This window comes from Homo sapiens, chromosome 8, assembly GCF_000001405.40.
Source record: "Homo sapiens chromosome 8, GRCh38.p14 Primary Assembly".
NCBI lineage: Eukaryota > Metazoa > Chordata > Mammalia > Primates > Hominidae > Homo > Homo sapiens.
The window spans coordinates 69,727,717-69,753,779 of NC_000008.11; the positions used below are offsets into that span (position 1 = coordinate 69,727,717).

Here is a 26,063-nt window from a genome sequence, read left to right on the forward strand (position 1 = left end):
AAAGCTGTATAGGCTTTTTAAAGTATTTTCACAAAGATTCATTCTTTTGATCTTTATAAGAATCTGAGGGTAAATGCTAAATCTTGGGCAGGAAAGAGCGTGGGAAGGATGAGGCCTGAGTATTATGTGACAAAAATATTCACAGTCTCTCAGTCTCTTTTCCCTTTCTGGAATCAGCTTCTCTGCCAGCGCAAACGCAAACTACATGCTGGGCAATCAGATAGTTTAAAAGGAACAAGTATAATGTATTAGAAAAATGGGTTATTTAGTATGAAGTGACTTATACCTATCACTATCATGTCATAGCAGAAGAATGGAAACAACCAAACGCCCATCATTAGGGGACTGAATAGACTTCACACAATAGAGTACCGTGCAGCTATCCAGAAATGAGCAAGGTCTCTAGACTGTATGGTACAGAACAGGGCATATAGCATGCCAACCTTTGGAAAGAAAGGTGAAAAACACTAATGTAAAATACCGATGTATATATTATATATATTGCATACGTAATACATGTATTTACTTATGTATTTAAAAAGAAATAAAAAAGGATAAACTAATGTTTTAAATGGCTTCCTATAGAGAGAGGAAGAGAATTGGAAGAAACTGGAATGGAACTGAGGCCTCTCTGAATGTACTTTGTTTATAGTTTTGACCTTCAAACCATATAAATGTTTTATATAATTTTAAATACAAATTTAACTTTAAAATTTTAAAAAGGTAATTCTAAAATTAAAAACCAAAAACAAATTAAAACAAACATCACAATATATCAGATATAACCAAACAGAGAAGAATTACTTCAGATAACTTCAGAACAGTATTTTGCACATCTGCAGTAAGAAATGGCCTTTGAACAAAACAAACTACAAAAGTCTAAAGCTGTATTTAGTATTTTACGATTAACTTCTGTGCTATATGTCTTATGGTTTATGGTTAATAAATAATACTGAGAATTGGTTTGAAATTATTATACATACATACAAACACACACACACTTGAATAAAATAATTATGTTAAAGTCATTAGAAAAAAGATTTTTATCATTAAACAAAAGAGATAAAATATAATATCAGAAAAGGTAAGTAATAACTGTGATATTAACATTTGAAGTGCAAACATCAGTATAATCTCATGACTTTTTTTAATTAGAAAAAGTCCAGAAACAATGACGATCTTGTAGCAATGAGCAATGGGCAACCCGAGTGTCCAGATGATGGTGTCCAAGTACCATTTTCCTGTCAAAGAAACCAAGATTCCTTGCAGATATACGACTGATCCGAGGTCCAGGGCAGGAAATGTGGAAGGTAAGTGAGTCACCTTTTGTCATGACAGAAACCACAAAGACTACTGAGGTAGAGCCAAAGGACACAGGTACTGACTTTAAGGGGCTCCCAATGGCCAAAGATTGGGCAACTGGAGCATCAAAAAGAATGATAACTGCGCCCGGTGCAGTGGCTCACGCCTGTAATCCCAGCACTTTGGGAGGCCGAGGCAGGCGGATCACGAGGTCAGGAGATGGAGACCATCCTGGCTAACATGATGAAACCCCGTCTCTACTAAAAATACAAAACATTAGCCGGGCGAGGTGGAGGGCGCCTGTAGTCCCAGCTACTTGGGAGGCTGAGGCAGGAGAATGGCATCAACCCGGGAGGCGGAACTTGCAGTGAGCCGAGATCGTGCCACTGCAGTCCGGCCTGGGCGAAAGAGCGAGACTCCGTCCCAACAAAAAAAAAAAAAAAAAAAAAAAAAAGATAACTGCAATGGAGTAAAGCACATCAAACACCTAAAAATGAGTTAATAATACTTTTAACAAATTATTGGCCACTATATAAATTTGCTAGAATATAAATTTTTACTCTGAAAACTAGTAAATAAAGAGAAAGAATCATATAAGAAATTACGGTCATTGGGGGAACTGGCCAAACAAGAAGCTGGTCATTTGGCGAACTGATTTGGAATAATTCAAAGAGAGAGAGAGAGAGCGTGTGTGTGTGTGAGAGAGAGATTCGTAATATGCTGCAAGCATGGACATCCCTCCCTAAGACTCCTTACTGTCTCCCGCCCCAGAAAGTTTCCACTACTTTACTCCTATGATCAAGATGAAAATAGTCACCTCTTACCATTTTATATGACTGTATTACCTCTCTTCGCGGGTGGGATTTAACAAAAAGCCTTCCAATTACCACTGTAAAGTAGACCAATACAATTTGTTTTAAAATCAGAAAACCTAACAAGATTTCCTAAAGGAAATTTAAATTTAGCACAGTTTCATAAAAGAAAAAGAGGAGAAACTGATTTTTCTTGATTATCTACTGTATACCAAATGCTTTAAGATCTAATTAGCTCACTTAATATTTTACAGTAGCCCTGGGGAATGATCACTCACATTTTACAAATGAGAAACTGAGACTCTGAGTGGGTAAGCAACTTGGCTAAAAGCCTACATCTAGTTAAGTCACAGATCTGGGATTCAGAGAGGTCTGTGTACTACATTAGGCTGCCCACAGCAAAACAAAACAGATAATATTGATTCTGGACATGGCCAGAGTTTGTGGGGATGCAACATTACTACAAATACCAGAGTGATGAATTGGTTAGTAACTAGTCCCTTTTAAGAAAACAATATAACTCTATAGGGAAGGTAAGAATAAATGTGTATTTGGTACACAGGGTTTTGGGAAAGTTATTTAATCTAAGATTTTAGGGAAGGAAGAATTATAGAGTTCATTTCAGTTCAAGTTATTGTTTTCTAGACTAGAAAACAGACCTGGAGAGAAAAACACTGTCCACCTTATGTACTGCGAAAGCCCTGGGAGTCCCTGCGAGGAGTAACTACACAGGCCTGGAATTAGCCTGAGCTGTCTTGCCAAATCATCAACGTGCATCTGTAGGGCACTGACTCCTAGTCAAGGCACAAAACATGTTCATGAACAGTGTTGCCTTATAACTATGGGTCCTAAGTGGTTGAGGATGGTTTGTACCAGCTTGTCAGCATTGTTTATTGACAAAAATGAGCATGAACTCTGTAATTTCTTCCTTCTCTAAAATCTTAGATTAAATCATTTTTCCAAACATGCTCATTTCATGTTTATTGTAACCAGTCTCACTAAGACCCCTGGAGAGCTCGGCTGTTGAAACTGGTTACATAGCAGGAATCTATGGGGCCAAGAAAATACTAAAAATATTCAAGCATGTGAGATGGCTTGAATATAAAAATATTCAAGCATGTGAGATGGCCTGTGGCTGCAAAGTATTAGGTTGGTGCAAAAGTAATTGCAATTTTTTTTTTTTTTGAGATGAAGTCTGGCTCTATTGCCCAGGCTGGAGTGCAGTAGCACAATCTCGGCTCACTACAACCTCTGCCTCCCAGGTTCAAGTGATTCTCATGCCTCTCAGCCTCCCAAGTAGCTGGGATTATAGGCACGTGTCACCACGCCTGGCTAATTTTTGTATTTTTTGTAGAGACGGGGTTTCGCCATGCTGGCCAGGCTAGTCTCAAACTTCTGACCTCAAGTGATCCACCTGCCTCAGCTACCCAAAGTGCTGGGATTACAGGCATGAGCTACCACACCCAGCCAGTAATTGCAGTTTTTGTCATTACTTTCAACAGCAAAAACCGCAATTACTTTTGCACCAACCTAATCATCTTTACTTTAATGCTGATGCCATGTAGTATCCTTTCCTGCAAGAAATGCCAATGTGTTTCTTATCATTTTGGGTCATCTGAGTCTTAAAAACATTGTTAAAGAGCAATTGAACCCTGTTTAACTGCCATTAGAGCACTGGCTAAGAACCTGCCACATGGTAGACACCCAAACATTCCTTAAATTAGTTGATTGATAAAGAGAAGCTGAGTGTTCTGACTTTTTGTCCACTATGAGCTCTTACAAAAGTTCTCATTAGCACTGAAGAGAAACAAATGTAATTCAGCATGATATTAATACATACCTCTCTCCCCAAAAGACAAAGAGCCTATAATTTTCACTTTTTGTTCCTAATAGCGTCTATTCATCTCAATAATGATTAAAATGATATAAGTGGGAAGACTTTAGCACCTGCTACAAAATGTTGGTTTGCAAGTACCTTTCTCCTCTCTCAGAGCCACCATGCTTGAGTAGTGTCAGCACACGTCTCAGGGGCAAGTGTCATCACCTGACCTTGGAAATGGCCAGTGATAGTGGACATCTACACCTAAAACACTTAGATTTGTATTTAAATGCTTAATCTCAACATTAAAGAGAAAAATCTGTGTATACATTTACAAAACTAGTACAAAAATTTTAAAAACTGCTCATAAACTTATATAAAAGCTGTTGATGCCCTTAGAAGAATGAAACAAATCAAAGCCCATTCATATATCTCTTGCATCTAAAGATGAAGTGATTCCCAAAGGCTGCAATTTAAGTTCAGTGGCACTGCTGTAAATCACTTCAACCAAATCCCAATTCAGTGGCTGAAGATGGATGGCAAATATTTGGTTATTTAGACAACAATAAAAATTACAGTAATTTTAAAAATTACACCCCAACCTAATTCTTTTACCGCAGAAGTAAGTATCTCAATTATTCTACAGTGAAAAACAAAATGGAATTTTCCAAGGCTACTTCCCTTGTAAAGACAAACCAATAGCTCTAACTCTATAATTGTACACATCAAAGGGCAAGAGCCCAAGCAAAGGCAATGCTGAAAGATCACAGTGCTCTGAAAACAGACGTTGTGGACCATGGCTGAGTGGATGGAAGTGGAATCCTAAATCCTTTGGAATATTGTCTTTTTGGAAATAGTGAAAAAAATAAATCGAAATGATGACAACAGCATATACGTATTATAATATTTCAGTAAAAATCACATAGCGAGGCCGAGTACAGTGGCTCACATCTGTAATCTCAGCACTGTGACCCCAAGTGGGTCAGCAGAAAGACCATGAGCAGGGAGAGGCGGGCAGATCACAAGGTCAAGAGATTGAGACCAGCCTGGCCAACATGGTGAAATCCCATCTCTACTAAAAATACAAAAATTAGCTAGGCATGGTGGCGCATGCCTGTAGTCCCAGCTACTTGGGAGGCTGAGGGAGGAGAATCACTTGAACCCAAGAGGCAGAGGTTGCAGTGAGCCGAGTTCACGGCACAGCACTCCAGCCTGGCGACAGAGCGAGACTCCGTCTAAAAAAAAAAAAATCACATAGAAATATTTATATACTCCAAGGAGTACAAGACTCTAGCATCCAGTTCTAACACTTACTATTTGCCTTTCAGCAAGTTACTTAAACCCTTCTGGCCCTTTTTTTCTCATCTAGAAAACTGGCATAATTAATAATATCTACTTCATAGGCATTAGTTACATAGATTAAATGATGTTACCCACATAAAATTGCTTAGGTAGAGCCTTGGACTTAGTAAACACTCAGTACATGTCAGCAGTGTTTTTATTATCATCGTTATTATTACAGAAATTTTATTCTCAGACCTATTCAAAGTGCACAACTTCAGATGTAAGGTGCTATCATCATAAATAATAATTTTCTTTACTGTGATATGATCGGGTTGTATTTTTCCATTTATATTGTTGTACCTATTTGAAGTTAAGTAAGCTTCAAAACAAATCACTATTCACTACTTCATTTGATCCTCACAACAATGCTGACATAGAGAGAGACAGGGGAGAGACTATCCTCAAGTTACAGATAAACTCCAGTTTCAGCTGAAATTTAGGGAGGAAAGTGACTTGACCAAAGCCATGCAACTAGTTACCGGCAGTGAATGGATTCCACGGGCACCCTGTATAACTGCTCCTTCAGGGTTGATACGGTTTGGCCCTGTGTCCCCACTCAAATCTCATCTCAAATTGTAATCCCCGTAATCTCCATGTATCAAGGGAGGTGCCAGGTGGGAGGTGATGTGATCGTGGTGGTGGTTCCCCCATGCTAGTCTCATGATGGTGAGAGTTCTCACGAGACGTGATGGTTTTATAAGGCAGTTTTTCCTGCTCTTCCTCACTCTCTTTCACCTGCCACTATGTAAGACGTGCCTCTTCCCCTTTCGCCCTGACTGTAAGTTTCCTGAGGCTTCCCCAGCCATGCAGAACTGTAAGTCAAATAAACCACTTTTCTTTATAAATTACCCAGTCTTGGATATGTCTTTATCGCAGTATGAGAACAGACTAATACAAGGGGTCGTCCCATCATTTCAGGCTTCTCCAAAATACCAACTTCATAATATTTAACTACTTTCAAGAGATAGATGTGACCCCAAGTGGGTCAGCAGAAAGACCATGAGCAGGGAGAGCACTGTGACACAGACCCCACTGTTCAGTAGAAACACACTATACCAGAGGAGTGAAGTGGGGTTGACTCTGGTATTGCGATGATGCCCTCGTCAGACATTGGTGTCACCACCTCCCGCCAGGCACAAGTGTCCTCAAGTGATTACAGCATGAGAGAAGTGGAGCTGAAGGTCCCTGAGCAGATTTCCCACCCTGCACCTGCTTGCCTTTGGAGCTCTATTTCTGACCTAGGGATAAACTCTCCCCTCCACCCTCCTTTGCCACTAGAGTAAGCTTTATCCACCCCTGCTGCTTTGCCTTTGCTCAAGCTGGTCCTCCACAGGAAATAAACACCTTTTCTCCAAACTCCAAATGGGCAGATTCTACTTTCCCTTAAAAACCTAGTTAAAAGCCATTGTCCATGAAATGAAACTCAACCACACTGCCCCATCAGCGAAAATAATCTCTGTGATCCAAATTTTCTGTTTATTTATTTAGACAGCTTTTTCTAATGTATTTCATAAGTTTTCTCTCTCCTCTTAGATGTGTAAGCAACTTAAGGCCCTGGTGTGAGTCTTTAGATTTCCCCAGCCACACACCAGGCACAGTGCTGTGCACAGAGCTGGCATTCAATGGCAATGTGAACAAGCGAGCAATAGAAGGTCAGTCCTTCTGTAGGTGTTTGGTGCTTCCTCTCTATCCATAACACAACGCAAACAAATTGCAGTGAAGGTCAGGGTATGTATCTAAATAATTTTTTTAAGTGAAAAGAGAATTTGAACTCAAAAACTTTGTCAGATGATAAATTCTTTTTCAGATATATTTCTCAATTCCCCATTTCAGTCTACATGCATTAAAAAAAGGGATTCAGAGAACAAAAGAGCTCAAATTTTAAAATTTCTTTGAAAAATGAAATCTATGCCCAGAGAGTAAGAATGATTAAACTGATAACAATTCAAAAAACCAAGAGGAGTTTTAACAAATTTACAAGAAGAAAACAAACAACCCCATTGAAAAGTGGGCAAAGGACATGAACAGACACTTCTCAAAAGAAGACATACATGCAGCCAAGAAACATATGAAAAAAGCTCAACATCACTGATTATTAGAGAAATGCAAATCAAAATCACAGTGAGATGCCATCTCATGCCAGTCAGGATGGCGATTATTAAAAAGTCAAGAAACAACAGATGCTGCCAAGGCTGTAGAGAAATAGGAACGCTTTTACACTGTTGGTGCAAATGTAAATTAGTTCAGCCATTGTGGAAGACAGTATGGCGATTCCTCAAAGACCTGGAACCAGAAACACCATTTGGCCCAGCGATCCCATTACTGGGGATATACCCAAAGGAATATAAATAATTATATTATAAAATGCGTGCACACGTATGTTCATTGCAGCATTATTTACAATAGCAAAGACATGGAATCAACTCAAATGCCCATCAATGATAGACTGGGTAAAGAAAATGTGGTACATATGCACCATGGAATTCTATGCAGCCATAAAACGGAACAAAATCATGTCATATGCAGGGGCATGGATGGAACTTGAAGCCATTATCCTCAGCAAACTAACACAGGAACAGAAAACCAAACTCGCATGTTCTCACTTATAAGTAGGAGCTGAATGGTAAGAACACATAGATACATGGAGGGGAACAACACACACTGGGGTCTGTTGTGGGATTGAGGGGAGAAAGAGAGCATCAGGGAAAATAGCTAATGCATGTGGGGCTTAATACCCAGGTGATGGGTTGGTAGGTGCAGCAAACCACCATGGCACACGTTTACCTATGTAACAATCCTGCACATACTGCACATGTATCCCAGAACTTAAAATTTTTTAAAAAAGAAAAGAAAAACCAAGAGTAGTTTTAAAAATAATTATCATCTCTGTTTAATCTTACTGCAATTTGACAGGCCCCCCTCTACTCTTAATCAATCTTAATATCTCTTGACTATTATTATTTGCTGCCTATCTATAAAGGAAGAAAAAATATGTGACCTGGAAATAAAAAGCTTTTTATCAGAAGAAGTGGAATAGCAAACATTGTATAAACTGCATTGGCTATGATCAAAACAAACAAAAGTTGCTGATGACAAAATCAGAATGGAAGTCGCATTTTTGAGATATTGCTTCTTTAACTCTGACATTGGAGCATGGGATGAACACTGTGAGTTAGCCTTATTCAATCCTGCACTTTCCTGGCCAAGTGGGACACATTTAGTGGCCACTGCCTCAACCACACTGCTGTGGAAGTCTGCAGCCGTCACCCCAGCTCCAACTGAACCCTTTATTCTGTAGCCGACACCCCAGCTCCAGCTGAACCCTTTATTTTCCACAAGTTGTCTGTCTAGCCTTGGCCTCTACCAGTAACTAAGAGATGGCTTTAGCCATATGCATTCAAGGTGCATTAATGCCTACCCGGCTCAGCACTGCACTACTCTCCCACTAACCCTGGGGTGAAAATGGTGCATCTGTAGAGAAGTGGGATGATCTAGGCAGCTCTGCTCCCTAGTCTGGCTGGAACTGGGGCACACAGTATGGCTTCCCTATGTGTATCCTGGGGAACACTGTTTATGAAAAAGATGCCTCTAAAAAAATCAGGTTTCATGGTCAAATGACTTTGGAAAAGGCTGTAGTCTGAGTCGTCTTCTGGGAGTTTCACGATGCATATCGGCATATTAAAGGAAATGAAAGGGCCTGCAGTAAAGAATCCTACGATACTTTGTTTAACTCAGCAAGTTCCAAATTTATTTTATTATGAACTGTCTTCCCACTAACACCTTTGAATATTGAAACTTAGTTTGGGAAATGCTGGAGACTACCCTATAATTAACAGCTGTGTGGCTTTGAATCTAACTTCAAGACAACTTTTGTTTTCCCTGTCCAAAAATCATTGCTCAACAAAGGGTTAGTGGAAGAGTTAAACTACAAGTAGAAGGTTTAGATTTTCTCACAACCAAACTATAAAATAATCTGGAAATTTTACCTTAATATAGGAAATCATATATTTTTGCAACCAAGATCAAGAAAAACATATTTTAAGTCACAATTACAATAGTCCACAGCAGTGTATTCTTTATAAAAACATGTGCTATCCTGGGCCCACAACCCAATGTTGTATGTCTTTATATGTATAAGATGAAGTAAAGAACAAAGTGATTACCCAGATATTTCAAATCAATTTCTCTTTCTACAGTGATGCTTGTTCATTTTCAGATAATTCAAGTTTACTGGATTTGAATGTGGAATTGGAGAACGTAGGAGCCTAAGTCACTTGAAAAGTTATCATAATTCTACACTATTTAAATACACTTCAACTACTGAAATATACCTTATTAAATAAATTAAGCCTTTAGGAAGATATGGCCAATCAGCCATCTTTGATATCACTAAGAAAATATCTACAATATTACATTATATAATATACTGAAAATTCCTCCAATATCTGAGAATTAATGTTTCCACATTTCTAAGCATCCAATTTATTATGAAAGAAGATTTTAAGCACTAAGTACTATGGGTATATGCATCAAAGTCTCCTAAAAATCAGTTTCCCAGACATCAAACATCTAAAATAAAATTCATACATTTCCTTTTCAACTTCACACATCTCCAGTAATTCAAATAAAATCTGTTCACATTTCTGAAGGGGAAATCCTGCTACCATGAAACTGATCTATATTTCAGGTTATCAATTTTTTTTAACTTAACACTTTAAAACCCATGCCAACCCATAAAAAGATCTATTTAGATTTAAATTTGAATGTCATTGCCTATTTCATTTTTTAAACTGAGAACCATAGAAATATAAATATGCAAAATTCTCTCCCTTCCCAAAACACAGTTGGGAAATGTGTCACATGGTAATACAATCTGAATCAAAGAGAACACTTTCCAGGATTTCCTCCTCCTAAAATCTGGGGGGAAAGGTAGCTGTTAATGAACTAGCTTAACACTTCGATGTTAGATTGAACTTTCTCTTTACCCATTCCATTTCATGGTCAAAATGATCATGTTTTCAAGCAGCCCTAGCGGCAGTGCCTTACCAGTGTAGATGCTGGCATTGGAGGCTGGGATACCAAACTGTGACTCGATGAACTTGGGAATGAAGGTAATGAAAGCAGTTACAATGGCACTCTCAGCTGTGTATGACAAACTCACAAAAAGGAATGTCATGTTGCTTAAGATCCTGACAGCTGCTCTTGGTAGGTCTACAAAATGACAAAAATGACAAATGAATGTTATAAACAATGGATGGAAAACAAAATAAAACTGAATTGTTTTTGAAATGAACTGGAAATAGCCATTCAGCAACATTTGCCACCAAGGAATAAAAATAGAAAGATCTGATGACGATTAGAAACCATCCTCTTTAAATAGATTTTCTTTTGTTTTTTTTTTTTAACTTTCAACCAGGATATGGAAATTAAGTAAAGTACCTAAAAACATACCCATACACAAATATCCTTATAAGCAGTACCCAACTGATAGTTCCTGTTTCAAAAACTGTTAGAATTATTTGCATTTCTTCAGTAATTAAGGCAATGCTATTTATTGTTAAGGCCTTAAAGTCCACTAGATGTGTAAAGTGCCTGCAATGCAGCCTTAAATTACAATTTCCACTTCTCCCAAGTAATATTATTATGTAGCTATTCTGCTTCTGTGGGCATCTACATGATGTTATACTTCTGATTGTCAAGGCTCATTATGAAACAGGAAATAGTCACAGTTTAAAAAGCTAAAAGAATGAGGCCATCAGGTCAGACACTCTGAGGTGCTTGAATTGGGGAACAAAGATCTCCAAAGAGGAAGGAGAGCTGAAAGGTGGGGGTTTAGCACCTGCTGAGCTGCCTCCAAGAAAGAAAGTAAAGCCTCACCCTTGAGTCTAGGCATTTATTTCACAGAACCTGCCATCTATGTGCTTCAAGGTATATGTGCAAGTATTTTCATTGGAGCATAATTTATAATACCAAAAATGTAGGAGGGGGGAATCTACATTTCCATCAGTGGGAAATGTTTAAATAAATGATGGCACAGCCATATAATGGAAAACTAGACAGTAGTTAAAAACAAAATAGAGCTGTATGTACTGGCATAAAAGAACTCCAAGAAATATTTGTATTAATGTGTAAAGCAAGCTGCAAAAATAGATGTACATATATGTGTGTAATTCTATTTAATTAAAAATCAAACAAACCAAAACAATGTATTTTATATGGTCAAATATATACTTCTCAATCATACTCATCCTACAGCCTCTTGTAAACACTGTAAATTAAAACGTCATATCCAAAATTTAGAACTTAGAAAGTTAAGATTACCTATCCACATTTAAAGATTCAAATTAAGCTTAGCAGTATATTAAAAGCCTATGTGTTAACTCTTAAACATCTGGGAAAAATATATAACACCAGACTATTAAGGTTTTGTGTTCTCTGAATTAATGTACATTTATGTAATCTTTATGTATCTTCATAGAAAAGGTAAGCTGTATTATTTTTGGCAATACAGTCATCTCAGAACGGTTATCTCTTTCAACATAATAAAGTCATTTCATTAAAATTAGCCTAGAATTTGTATTAAAGCTATAATTCATAGCCTCCTGTTGACCAAAATTTGAAACTTAGAAAGTTAAGACTGCTCACTGTCATCATTTTAAAATTTAAACTAAATTTAATGTTCTATATTTTAATTTAATTTCTAAAGTTTAAATTAACAATTTAAAATAAAAATTAAGATGCATGCTTTATTTTTTTACATGGATAAACACACCAGAGAAAAACATAAAGTGCTTCATAAAATCATCCTACAGCCTCTTGTAAACACTGTAAATTAAAATGTCATATCCAAAATTTAGAACTTAGAAAGTTAAGATTACCTATCAACATTTAAAGATTCAAATTAAGTTTAGCAGCATATTAAAAGCCAATGTGTTGACTCTAAAACATCTGGGAGAAATATAAAATAAATTTTTAACATAAGAAAGTAACATACTATCACATGACTGTTTTAAGAAATACTGGTTATATTGAACGGGTTTTTCTTCTATAGCCATTTGGCATGATAAAATAGCCTTCTAATTTCAAGGGTAACTAAAAACATGCATGATGGTTCTCTCTTCTTTTATTAAAAAAGTCTGCTGTTATCTAAGAAGAATTAGCAGAAGTTCAGACCTTCAACGACTCTAAGTTCCTTTCTTCTACCTTTCTCATTCTCCTTTACTGGGGCTGAGCTTTCAGCCTACAGCCCTCCAGGAGTTGGGGTGGGAGAACAGTATACAGGGTTGTACCTTTGGTTGGTGGGACTGGGTGATTTTTTACATCAAAGGAGACTTAGAAAGTTATAAATACATTGAAAATAATGGAAATCAGTTTTCTAACTGCCAAAGAAGAGAGTTACAAATATGGAAAGGGGGATCGTTCTACATCAGATTGGAACTGGAGGTACTGGTATGAATTCATGGTTCAGATAGACAGATAGATAAATAGATTAGAAGAAGATAGATACATGGATGATAGACTGTGTGTGTGTTTGTATGTGGGTATAAATATAGGTCCTTCTCCGTCTGCTCACAAGGCTTAGAAGTAATGACACCCTGGTAGGAATGCATCCACCTAGCAACCAATTCTTGATTTCTAAAAACCATCTTCTAATAAAAGGAACAAGAGTTCCCTGGAAAAATGTCTAACTTTACAACTGGAGCAGAGATAATACAAGATAAGCCTAGAAAATCTTGTTGAACAAGAAAGCAAAAATGTGCTCATGGAATGGTGAGGACATGTCATAAGGACACAGAAGACAGCTTGAAGGATTCTCAATAGCCCAATCTGGGACAATTTGACCTCTGTAGATGCTAAACCAGTAAGCAAAAATCTAATAGGAATGAGATATAGTCGGTTTTTATTATTCACAGATTCCATATTTCCAAAGACATCTACTTGCTAAAATTTATTTGTAACCCCAAAAATTAACACTCACAGCACTTTCACAGTCACATGCAGACCAGAGAAAAATTTGAGTCGTCCAATGCACACATTCCCAGCTGAGGTGGAACAAGGTGACACTCTGCTTTCTTGTTTCTGCTGTCATATTGTAAACTCGTGTCCTTTCCATAATACATTGTCTCACATGCTTTGCATTTTTGTACTTTTTGTTGGTGATCTCATTGTTTAAAATCCCTTGTGCTGCAGTGCTGTCTAGGGTTCCTAAAGTGCAAAAGACTATGATGTGCCTTACGGAGAAAATACTCATGTTAGATAAGCTTCCTTCAGGCATGAGTTACAGTGCAATTGACCATAAGTTCAATGATAATGAATCAACCCTATATATTAAATAAGGAGTCTTTAAACAGAAAGATACATAAAGCGAGGTCATGTATTGATTGACTGGTTGACGATTATGTTGTAATAGGAACCCAACCCTGTACCCTCCGTAGGAGTGAAGTTCAGTCCAGGCTAATCCAGTGTTCACAGTGACTTTATAGAACATAGCTGCCACAAATAATAGGTGTCAAATGTATTTACATAGCCTCAAAATATTTCCCCACAAAGTTCTTTTTAATTACTCATTGATTAATAATACATTATACTTATTAACTTTAGAATGAAGGAACCTGGCAAATACTATCTTATCCCAGTGATAAAAGCCTATTAGTGATAGGGCAAATTAACACTATATGTCTCTGCTCCTATGTACTGAGCATAGCATCATTTCAGTGGTGTGCCTGCAAACATGCATAAATCAGGAAATATCACCAAATCCAAATTGAAGGATATTCAAAGTTAATGGATATTCAAAGTTAATGGATATACAAAGTTACTTGCTTGTACCTTTTTTAAAAGACCAAGGTCATGAGAAACAAAAAAGGATGAGTAACTGATTTAGGTTGAAGGAGACTAAAGGGCACAAAAACTAAACGCATGTGATCCTGGATTGAATCTTGGACATCATGGGCATTATTGGGATAATCAGCAAAATTTGACTGGGGCCTATGGTTTAGATGATAGCACCAGATCAATGTGAATTGCCTGATTCTTATGGCTGTCCTGTGGTTATATAGGAGAGTGTTCTTGTACTTAGGAAACATACACTGAAGTATTAGGGACAGTAGAGTACCACACCCTCAATTTCTCAGAAATGTTAACAATTGGGGAATCAGGATGTAGGGTACACTGGTGCCCTGTGCTATTTCTATAGCTTTCATGTAAATTCAAAATTATTTCAAAAACACAAAATTTAGAAGACTAAGTTAGCAAAGAAGTTGTTAAACCTTCCTAAATTTGCAACCAAATACTTAATTTTTATGCTACAGAATATATTTTAGATCAGTTTCTTGGTGTCATTTATAACTGTGTCATTGTAAAACCAAAGATGCAGTAAAAAGCATGATGAAGGAGAGATGATGAAATAATGACAGTGATTATCAATTTTTGATCATTTAATGCTAGGAAATCTTACAAATTCAGGCTGGCACTAAAACCAGGAGATGCCTTAAACAGTAGTAAAGTAGGAATAAAATTCAACACAAAGCACCAAAATTCAAGAGGTTATAATTTAAGGTGGTCTATACTCTGAAATCACTTTTAAAAGAAGTGTTAATAGCATTGGCAGATCATTTGCTCCTTCCAGGTGCATATCGATGACAGTATAGGCGGCCCCATCATCACGTGCACACGGACCTGGTGTTAAATTGTACTCCAATCACAACAGAGCTATGCTGCAATAAATCTGGTGCACCCAGGGGCCTCCAAAGCCTTTGGTCAAAATTCAGAAAATCTGAGATAGGTGGTGTGAGTGGATTCTTTTTTTTTTTTTTTTTTTTTTTTGAGACTGAGTCTCGCTCTGTTGCCCAGGCTGGAGTGCAGTGGCGTGATCTCAGCTGACTGTAACCTCTGCCCCCAGGGTTCAAGTGATTCTCCTGCCTCAGCCTCCCAAGTAGCTGGGATTACAGACACTTGCCACCATGCCTGGCTAATGTTTTATATTTTTAGTAGAGACGGAGTTTCACCATGTTAGCCAGGATGGTCTCGATCTCCTGACCTTGTGATCTGCCCGCCTCGGCCTCCCAAAGTGCTGGGATTACAGGCGTGAGCCACTGTGCTTGGCTGTGACCAGATTCTTATGGAAGCTGATAAGGGATGGTGTTTAGGAGAGACTGGATCAGTCTCACTGAGGGCAGAGGCCGTAATTTATTCTCCAAACCTACTGATCACAGCATGATATAAGGCAGAAGGTATTGATATGTTTGTAATTTTTTGACCATTAGCCAAGTGGGTTCCAGCATGTGTGAATATTTTATGCTCATTTGTTAAATAAGTCATAATTTAAAGTCTGTATTTGATGAAGGTCTTTATTTTTGTTTGTTTGTTTGTTTGTTTTAGATAGGGTCTCCCTCTTTTGCCCAGACCAGTATGCAATGAAGTGATCATAGCTCACTGCAACCTCAAACTCAGGGCTCAAGCAATCCTCCCACATCAGCCTCCCGAGTAACTAGTACTACAAAAGGTCTTTATTTGGATGAGCAAAGCTTAAACAAGCACCAACTTCGGTGAACCTGAAAGGTGCAATCATCTTTTCAAGTGGGCAGAGAGACGAACTTCCTGGAAGTTTATTTAGTTTGATAAGAAATATATCCCAGGCTGGAGAGGGCTCTGCAAGTCCCTGTCACACTGCAAGACCCATCCTCTGTGGCTCCTTATACAGAAGCTGCAAGGTTTTTACCATAGGACCTGATATCCCCAAATGAGCTGATTAGACCAGGGAAGGAGGCGGGACTCAGAGGTGCTATCTACAGGCAACCCAACAGCCACCAGAAGCCTAAGGCACCCTATGTGAGCAAAGACTGGCCAAAAACCCCTTGGCTTTGTTTCCCTTGGAGTGTTTGCATTGGAGACTATAAAGGGCTAATTAGGCAGGGAGTATGAAGATTTGAGTGAGAGACAAAAGTAAGAAAAACTGAACCTGGAGCCACAGTGGAGTCTGCAGAGTGACTGTGGAGCTCAATGGCAATGGGCACATCCCTATCTGCCAGGGGCCCAGCTGCTGGGGCTTCTCCTCTCCCCTGGAGCCTTGCACCAGAACCCCAGTATCTCAGGTGGCTGGAACTGGCTTCTGCTCTTTACAACCTGAAAGGATCTATATCATGTCTTTTTGCTGTTGTGTTAGATTACTGAAACAAACTTTGTTTTAATGATATATTTGAAAAATGTATGCCAACAAAGGGATTGACCAAGCATAAGAAGCATAAGAAGGCGGCCCAGCTACCATGAACACCACTGAGTGCGCCAGGCCTGTGAGAGCGGGCTGCTGCCTGCCCTTCCACTCTGTAGTCCTACGGTTGCCCTGCCCCAAGCTTCATCCATGGCATGGTCTTCTTCATCTCTGTACTATTTGTGGTATTCCCCACCTATCTCCTTGGCAAATGTCAAACTCATCCATCAACTTTCAGGATTGGCATCTGCCCCTGTAGGAAGCATCCACAGCTTCTCTAGACAGTCTAGGGGGCTCCCTCTCTGTGCTCCCATGTACTTGGTCCATAGCTCTAGTCATCAATTCTTAGGTAGCTGCATGTGTTTACCTGTCTGTTCCTTTCAGGAGACTATAAAAGCTATGACTGCAGGACCTTGGGGTATCTGTACATCTTCAGCTCCCAGCATTCATCTGGCCTATAGGAGGCACTCAAAAAATATACTTGGAATGCATTTATTAACATTCTTTATTATATCACTGCAATAATTTGTACTAAAGCAATAGCCATATACTTGTGAAAAAATGGAGTCCATTCCAAAGAGACATAATTTCCTCCTGGGGAGCAGGTTAAGAGCTAAGAAAGCATAAGTCATAAGATGAAAGGTGGTCCACAGTGGTGAACTCACTGAAAATAGAAAATTATGCTCCTTTTAAAAGTATGGTTCTTTAATGCTAAAGAATCCTTAATGGCATCAGATAAGATTATAAACTAAAATGTCCATTAAAGAAGAATTAAAATACTAACAGGAGAAACAGAAAATATACAATATTGTCCTTTATCCAGCATATCTGGGAAAGAGATATGCTTAATTTTTCAGATTTCTGAGTGATTGCCTCTTTAAGCAACAAAGCTTTAAATATTTTTGTTGTATTAACTGGTAATACTAGTGAATGCATAGCATAATCTGACATTTTCTTCAAGATTCAAAATCATAATTAGGAATACTAATTTCTGTGTGCTAATTAGTTTTTCACCATCTTTTTTAACCTTCATTAATTTTCTGATTAGTTTTTTTTTCTGGTTGCAAGAAAATTCCTTCCCCAGGATGTGTTGTTTGTGTGTTTGTTTTTACCCACCGACATTGTGCATCCACACCAACATTTCTTTTATGTTCTTCTAAAGAGCCCTTCTAAAAGTAAACATAAGCTATTAATTTTGTTCCTTTTACATCTTTTTTTAAAATTTAAACTGGGGGTGGGATGAGGACTACTGCTTGTTTTATTATTATACAAAATAGATAAGTTAGTATTACTATGAAGCAGTTGACTAAATTTTATTACCCCAAAATGTACATTTCTACCCAGGTATAAATTATGAGTATTAAATACCAAACAAACATACTGGCCCCTCTTAATGCTTTTCATAATTTTTGACATGGATATATCCACACATACTAACATTTATCTAAAATTTAGTAGCCCAGGCAGTTTATTTTCCTAATGTTTAAATTCCACTAAAATACATACCCTTTTAAAAAAATAATTTATTGTGCCAAAATTCACAGAATATAAAATTAACTATTTTAAAGTAAAAATGTTAGTGGAATTTAGTACAGTCACGATGTTGTGCAACCACCACATCTATCTAGTTTCAAAATATAAATACTTTCTTACTATTAAAAAAAGTTAAGCATTTTATTTTCAGAAATGGGATTGGAATTCACTTTTATTTTATTCTCTAAATTTTCTGTCATGAACATGTATTACTTTTAGGATCTTGTTTTAAAAGCTGCAATTTTAAAAGGATGCAGAAATGTGTCAACCCTGAACGTCCTCCCTGACTCAGGCAGCCAACATGGATTCCTTCCTCCTCTTCCTTCCACCTTCTTAGAATGTGCATATCTCCATTTTAGGACTTAACATATTAATATTGTGTCTACTTTCTTTTCTGCCTCCCTTTGAGGGCAAGGTCTGTAACTTTTCATGTATGCATCCTGAGTTCTTAGTCCTGTAGTGATTGTCCAATAAAGATATTTGTGAAAAAGAAAGAAAAATAAAAAAAGAAATTTCCTTAGGATAGATATTGCCAGGCATTTATCTCAATACTTAAATTATTGGGCTCCATTTGGAAACCCATCTAGTCCTTTCCTAAAAGTCTTAAATAACACCCATTTCTTATATAAAAGTACATTTTGAGAGAAGAGTGATCGAACAAGCAGACAAAGGCAGCTTAAAGGGACTAAAGTCAAACAAGGCATAAAATTCACATTGGGCACAGAGACCAAGAGTGAAGATGAAAGCAACCAGAGTAGAAGGTCATAGTTATATAAAAGATGGGGATTTTTATTGATAAATTTTAAAATAATGTGATACTGCCAAAATACAGGGTGCTTTGCAAAGCACATGGGCAGTACCAAGGCCTTTGCCTTGAGGGCATAGGAAAGGCCTCCTCAAGGGGGAGGATGAAAAGTGGTGTAATAAAGAAAGGCAGAGGGAACACCACGTGATAATTATGGCCGAAGGAGGCCAGTGAGCAGATACTCCAGCTAGAACACATAAGCTTCCATATTAATCATGTTTATAAATTTCTATATTTTATAATGCTTTGACTTCTTAAAAAGCTTGCCAGCCAGCGAGAGACTGCCCTCCCAGGACTATAGCCACTTCTTAGAGATAGCATTGGGCTCAGCTGCCACTGCGAGCATACCTTTCATAAGCAAACCAACCAATCCCAAGTTGGTAGCCCCAACCACCTCCTTATCTAACTCACACACACTTCACCTGTCCTAAATCACCCAGGGTCAGGTACCAGACAACTGGAGATCATCCTTATAGCCCACAGCCTGTGGACATTATTCAAACTAGCCAATCCTAAGCTCTTTCCCAAGGATATCCCAACAAAGGCTGTGGCCTAGACTCTGGCCTTGCTCCGATTCTGCCTCCTGACCAACCTGATGCTCCCCCTGTGGCCCTGCATGGCAAGGCATGCCCCCTTCTCTTAGGAAGTGTAAGTAATTTATTCTACCAGCGGTATTAACCTCGTCATATCATCACTCAGACATCTCTATAAGTTAAAATCCCATGGGTGCAAATTATTGAACAGCCTTTAACATCTCATGAAACTTCTTGATCCTCTTCTTTTATGAGTACTTAAAGTGCAGTTGGTCCTCTATATCCATGGATTCTGCATCCATGGATTCTGCATCCATGGATTCAACCAACCACAGATTGAAAATACTCAGAAAAAAAAAATGAATGGGTGCATCTGTATTGAACACATCAGACTTTTTTATTATCCTTATTCCCTAATCAAGACCATATAACAACTATTTACATAGCATTAACATTGTATTAGGTATTATAAGTAACAAGAGATGATTTAAAGTATACCAGAGGATGTGCGTAGCTTATATGCAAATACTGCACCATTTTTATATCAGAGACTTGAGCATCGTGGATTTTGGTATCCACCAAGGAGTTCTGGAACCCATCCCCCGTGGATACCAAGGGATGACTGTATTTAAATGTTCCATTATCTCTAATCTTGCAGTTCCTGTCATTTTTATTCTTTAAAGCCTTCTGGTGCGTCAAAAAGCTGGTGAAAAAATATGATCGTCCTGCAGTGAAAACCTTAGTAACTTCTATGGCCTGTGAATCTTGCATGATCCTGTATGTTCTTGAGCATTTGGCAGATACAACTTTTCCATGCTGTTATCCAGAAGAATCAAACTATTTTTAGTCAGGGTTTTCTGTAAAAGCAAAACCAAGACTGCTTATCATATGCAACATGGCCAACACAGGACCTATGTGCCCTCATTTCCTGCTCATTTTCTTTGAAAGAAATGATCCCACGGGTTTCCCAATCATAAGGCCCCATGAAGGTACTCTAAGTCCTCCCTCCCCTCCAAAACACACCAGCAAATGGCATTTGCTGCTTGCCTGGAAAAGACAGGAGCTAGATGACACTAGCACGCCACAGTCACCTGGCAGCTTAGCACATTGAGCCTGAGACACTTGCCTACGACAAGGGGGTACACATGGCTGCCAGGGCCTAAAATACATCATTAGTGGCTCCTGGCCACAGTACTACCTTGCTTGTTTAAATCAGCACTCATGAGTATGTTCACATATCTTTCTAAGGAGATGCTACTTTGATGAGTCACCCCACAGTTATTTTGCTGAGTATAGAGAAAGAGCTTTCTTTTTCAGGGTTTCTCTGCCTGGACTGTTACCATTTACCTTTCACCTCCTAAGCTGCAAGTCCAAATCTAAAGATGTGGCTTACTACCAGAAATCATACATACAATAAAATAATAGACAGGAAAGAAACAAATAATTCGATACACAGAAAACATAAATAGAGCAGAGCATCCAAACCGGGAGAAAGAATTAAATGTGGCCATAAGACTTTTCCTGGGTTTTAGATTTGACTCTGACTTTCCTGGCCATCAAAGCAAAAAGCTATATAATCATCATTATCAGAAACACAGAAACATTCTACTTTCTTCCTGGAAAACAAAGTTTTTCCTAACTATGTTCTGGAGCTGTGGTTTTCACAGTGCAGTTCCTGGACCAACAGCTTCAGTATCATCTGGGAAATTGTTAAAAAATGCTCATTCTCAGGCCGCACTCCAGACCTACTGAATCGGAGACTGTGGACTGGGGCCTAAAGACCTGGGTTTTAGGGAGCCTTTGTGGTGATGCTGTTGTAGGCTGGGTTTGAGAACCAATGATCCAAAGAAAGGGGTTTTATATAAAGGGCACTGAGCAACCATCCTATGGCAAGTATGGGGAATTCAAGCAGCAGCTTTCAATAAAACTGCAAACACAAAATTAAAGTGCTATTTAGCAAAGGCAGTATGCAAGAAGACTAAGAGCACAGGGCCCAGGCATGTAGCTTTTAGTGATCCCTCTTTGCTGCGTCAAAAACTGACCTGGACACATTCATACTATACTTGTTCCAAAACACCTAGCAAAGGAGCATATGCAATGGTTCTGGGTGTTCTTAGGCAGCTCAAGTTCAGAATCTATTCCTTCTGCTTCTCTCAACTAGTTCCTCTCCCCATTATCTGAGGTTCAAACCCTATAATCACCTCTGGTATCTCTCTCCATCATTCCCATATCAGTTGTCACACCCTAAAGAAATGACCTGTTTCACCGGGCGCAGTGGCTCACACCTGTAATCCCAACATTTTGGGAGGCCGAGGCAATGGATCATCTGAGGTCAGGAGTTCAAGACCAGCCTGGCCAACATGGTGAAACCCCATCTTTACTAAAAATACAAAAATTAGCCAGGTGTGGGGGTGGGTGCCTGTAATCCCAACTACTCAGGAGGCTGAGGCAGGAGAATCACTTGAGCCTTGGAGGCGGAGGTTGCAGTGAGCAGAGATCACGCCACTGCACTCCAGAGCAAGACAGAGTGAGACAAAGCAAGACAGTCTCAAAAAAAAAAGAAAAAGAAAAAGAAATGACCTCTTTTTCTCATTCAATAATTCATTCATCAAATATTTACTATGTACCTACTAGGTGGTGTAAACTTAGCAGGAAATGTAATGGACAAAAAAAAAAAAACATTCCTGTCTTCATGGAGCTTACTTTCTCATTGGGGAGACAATAAATAAGTAAGTAAAATCCATGGTAGGTGAGTGAGTGATGGGTGCTAAGGAGAACACTAAAGGCAGGATGGAGGTAAGAAGCCTTGAAGGAGAGGTCAGAGATTTTTAACAGGGTGGCTAAGGAAGGGCTCACTGATAAGGGGCCACGTGAGAAGTGCACTGAGGGAAGTGAGAGAACATTCCCAGCACAAGCGTGGCAAGTGTAAAAGTCCTGGGGTGAGACTCTCTGGCACGTTTGAGGACCAACAATGAGCCCAGTGGGGCTGAAGCAGAACACACAATAAACAAGTGGGACTGAAAGGAGATAAAGTCGAAGAGGTAACCAGGGGTTAAATCATAGGTCATAAAGGAGTGGACTTTTCTATGAATGAGCTGGGAGACCACAGAGCTTTGAGCAAAGGATTGGCATTTTAACATTTCTGGCTGCTGAAGGGAAGGCAGGTAGAAAGGGGGCAAGGGTCGATGCAGCAGGGCCAGTTTAGCAGGCTGCTGTCCTTTCCTTCTCTACTAGTCGAAACCTCTCCACTGGGCTCTGTCTGCAGCTGTCTACCTGTGCCCCTTCCTGACAATCTGCTCCTCCTCCTCCCTAATCTACCTCTTTGAGTGCTACCAAACACCGACTCAAACCTCCCCATTCCCCGTTAGAAAAGAAATCGAAGAACTCACACTAGAACTCACGCTCTCCACCATGTGCCCTGCTTGACCTTCCCAACCTCATCTCCCAGGCCTCTGCCACATATGTCCAACAGACCAACCACAAAACGCTTGTTCAGCACATTCAAATACATCTACACAGTCCCAGTTTTCTGGCCTTTGCTCTCTCTGCCTGAACATTCCTGACACCCGCCTCCACCTACTGAAATCCTCCCAGTCTTTCAAGGTTCATCTCAAATGCCACCTCCTCCATATAACTTTTCCTGATCCCTCAACTGGATGCTCCTTCTGCAGCCTTGAACCTCCACAGCTTTGCACCTGTTCTCTTCTTATGGCCTTTAATACATTTCCATCTGTATTTGTCCTGGCTCCCTCAGTGGACTCTAAGCTCTTGGAGGGTAAACCATGGCTCACTCAACTGTATAACTAAAGCATGGAGTACAGCACCCTCTATAGAGTGAACATTCAGTGAATTCAATGATGCCAACATTATCCTTCCATGAGCAAAATTCTCCAACTTTCAGTAGCCTCTTTAAATCAGTTTATCACCTCAGGGTAACTATTTTATTTAGTTAGGATTTTAAATATATTGCACTCTAACAGACAAAATCCTAGCAGAGAAATCTCTGTTACATTTTATGCTTAATAAATAATACTAAGCAATTAAGCTTCAAAGATTAAAAAGTGGACATAGAAAGTAAAATCATTCTTATGATTAACTGCCACCAAAAGTTTTTTAGATAGAAGGCTGCCCAGTTAAATTTGGAATGCTTTAAAATGCTGGACCTCAAACCTCAGGAAAATGGATTCACTTAAATATTTTAAGTGTTTATTTTTATTGGTAAGATTTTTGATGGAATCAATGCTAATTTCTTTGTGGAATGTAATGCAGATATACTGAGAATTCTACTTTCCCCTTTGCGGTGTCTTAAATCAGTGTTATTCCTGCATAATTTATAATAAGAGTATGAAAACACTGAGTCAGATTTTCTCAATGTCTGTCATTAAAATGTGGAGGTGGAGTATATTTTCTTCTATCATTCTCTACAATAGAACTTCCCAAAAGGGCGCCATTCTGTATGGCTCAAATAATTTTCTTTTTTTTTTTTTTCGTGAGACGCAGTCTTGCCTCTGTCACTCAGGCTTGAGTGCAGTGGCACAATCTTGGCTCACTGCAACCTCCACCTCCCGGTTCAAGCGATTCTCCTGTCTCAGCCTCCAAAGTAGCTGGGATTACAGGTGCTCACCACAACGCCCATCTAATTTTTTTATTTTAAGTAGAGACTCGGTTTTGCCATGTTGGCCAGGTTGGTCTCGAACTCCTGACCTCAGGTAATCCGCCCACCTTGGCCTCCTAAAGTTCTGGGATTACAGGCATAAGCCACTGCACCTGGCCAATAGTTTTCTGTTTAAGGAAGTATAAGTTACCAACTTCTACCTCCTCTTTGAAGGTACTAATATTGGTATCCAAATTTCAAATATAAAGTAAAGACCAAAAAGCCAAGCGTGGTGGCTCACACCTGTAATCCCAGCACGTTGGGAGGCTGAGGCAGGCAGATCCCTTGGGTCCAGGAGTTCTAGATCAGCCTGTGAAACATGGTAAAACCCCATCTGTACAAAAGATGCAAAAATTACCTAGGTGTGGTGGCACAGGCCTGTAGCCCCAGCTACTGGGGAGCTGAGCCAGGAAGGATCACTTGAGCCTGGGAGGTTGAGGCTGCAGCGAGCCAAGATCACACCACTGCACTCCAGCCTGGGTGACAGAGAGAGACTCTGTCTCAATAAACTAAAATAGAATAAAAATTTTAAAAATTAAGACCAAAAGAAGCCCTACTCCAGAAAATAGAAGGGAAAAAAGGATCTGGGACTCAAACTCAGATTTAACTCAAAATGGACTTTTCTATGAATCATTTTTTAAGGCAAGACCTCAATAATAAATCTCAGCTTTGTTAAAAAGTAACCTCAATAATAAATCTCAGCTTTGTTAAAAAAAAAAAAGTGATGTCAATAGCAGAATGATTCCTGGAGATTTAATTTGTCCTTTGGAAAATTATATTAAATATGAGTCACTTTCTTCAGGTGATATGTATTAGATACACTAAAGGAAATCAATGTATACAAGATAAAAATGAATTAATTTTAAATATTCTAATTGAACATCATTTTATATCATCAATGGCATTTTTAGCAAAAACATTTTCAGTGTAATTCAATTAAAACAGTATTTCTTTCTAACAAGATAATGTGTCTCTTGAAGTTCCAGTCTTGATATGATTAGAGAATCCAGTACAAGTGGAAATAATAAAATGAATCAGCTGTGTGTCCCAGTCAGGAGGTTTGGCTGCAGAAGTAGGATCAGTCATGATAATCAAGGCATAGGGTAAAAAAAGGAGACTTTATCAAAAATACTAACAAGAAAATCAGAACATAAACAGATTTTATAAACCAACTACCCATCACCATTCAAGGACTCCTCTTATTCTCGTTTTTAAAAGAAAATATCTTGAACCATCAAACTGAGCATAGAGAAGACAGAGAAAAGCAACCCCTGGCAGTACAAGAAGTTATCCCATAAAATAGTGTATACATTCAATTTCCAAAAATCATTTTTGAATTCTCAATGGCCCTGATCGCTTTTGAACTTGCATATCTAAGTATGGGTTCCCCAGGAGAAGGCCCTGAGACAAGAGTTCGCATCTAAGTAATTTATTGGGGCAACTCAGGGAACACTGGGTGGAGAGTGTGGTCGAAGTGCACTGGAAGGGAGGAGAGCCCACGAAAGACACAGAAACACACCTCAGAATTGCCTACCCCAAGAGGGGCAGGAGCTGCGGTGTTCATCCAGTCATCTGGTTAAGACTTCTCTGGGGCATGGGAGGCCAGGGGGTTCATTCCTTGGTACCTGAAAACCGCCTCAAGCAGGAGCCAAGCAGTTTTCTCAGCCCACAAAGAAAAACCTTCAGGTAAATGATTTCAGTCCTGGCAGTTGGTGGACCTCTGCCATGAAAACAGTAGGGTCCAAAAATGTGGACAGGGCATTGATAGCATTGTCTACACTGCATCTTCCAAAAGAACTTCATTCTCAGCAACAGTTGTATCTGCTGTTGGTATTTGATATCAATCTTCTCCCCGCTTTTTTCTACTGTCCAATAGATCATATATTTCATATTCAAGTCACCTAACCCTAAGCTATAAAACATATAATTTTATCTTACATATGACTTTATTTCTCCCTTTGAGTCTACTTTATAGTCTCCATAAATGAAGACTCAAAGGCTGGCCAGGCATGGTGGCTCACGCCTGTAATCCCAGCACTTTGAGAGGCCGAG

The 26,063-nt window shown here is 38.9% G+C and overlaps 1 protein-coding gene across 3 annotated transcripts in view, besides 1 other annotated feature; it reads right to left on the reverse strand.

The window, feature by feature from the left end:
• The window catches only part of SLCO5A1 (solute carrier organic anion transporter family member 5A1), a 167,933-nt gene that overhangs the window by 60,671 nt on the left and 81,199 nt on the right, over positions 1-26,063 (reverse strand). For 2 of the 3 annotated variants that reach the window (NM_030958.3, NM_001146008.2), the window contains one exon: positions 10,324-10,488. The exons of the other annotated variant lie outside the window; for it this stretch is intronic. In NM_030958.3, the coding sequence (NP_112220.2) occupies positions 10,324-10,488 (165 nt within the window). The remainder of the gene's footprint in view (positions 1-10,323; positions 10,489-26,063) is intronic. 3 annotated transcript variants of the gene reach the window in all.
• Positions 11,182-11,231: a silencer, noted in NCBI's record as "silent region_19263". NCBI's record gives its function as "represses an Ori minimal core promoter by ATAC-STARR-seq in GM12878 lymphoblastoid cells {active_cell/tissue: GM12878}" and the evidence as "EXISTENCE:reporter gene assay evidence [ECO:0000049][PMID:35858748]".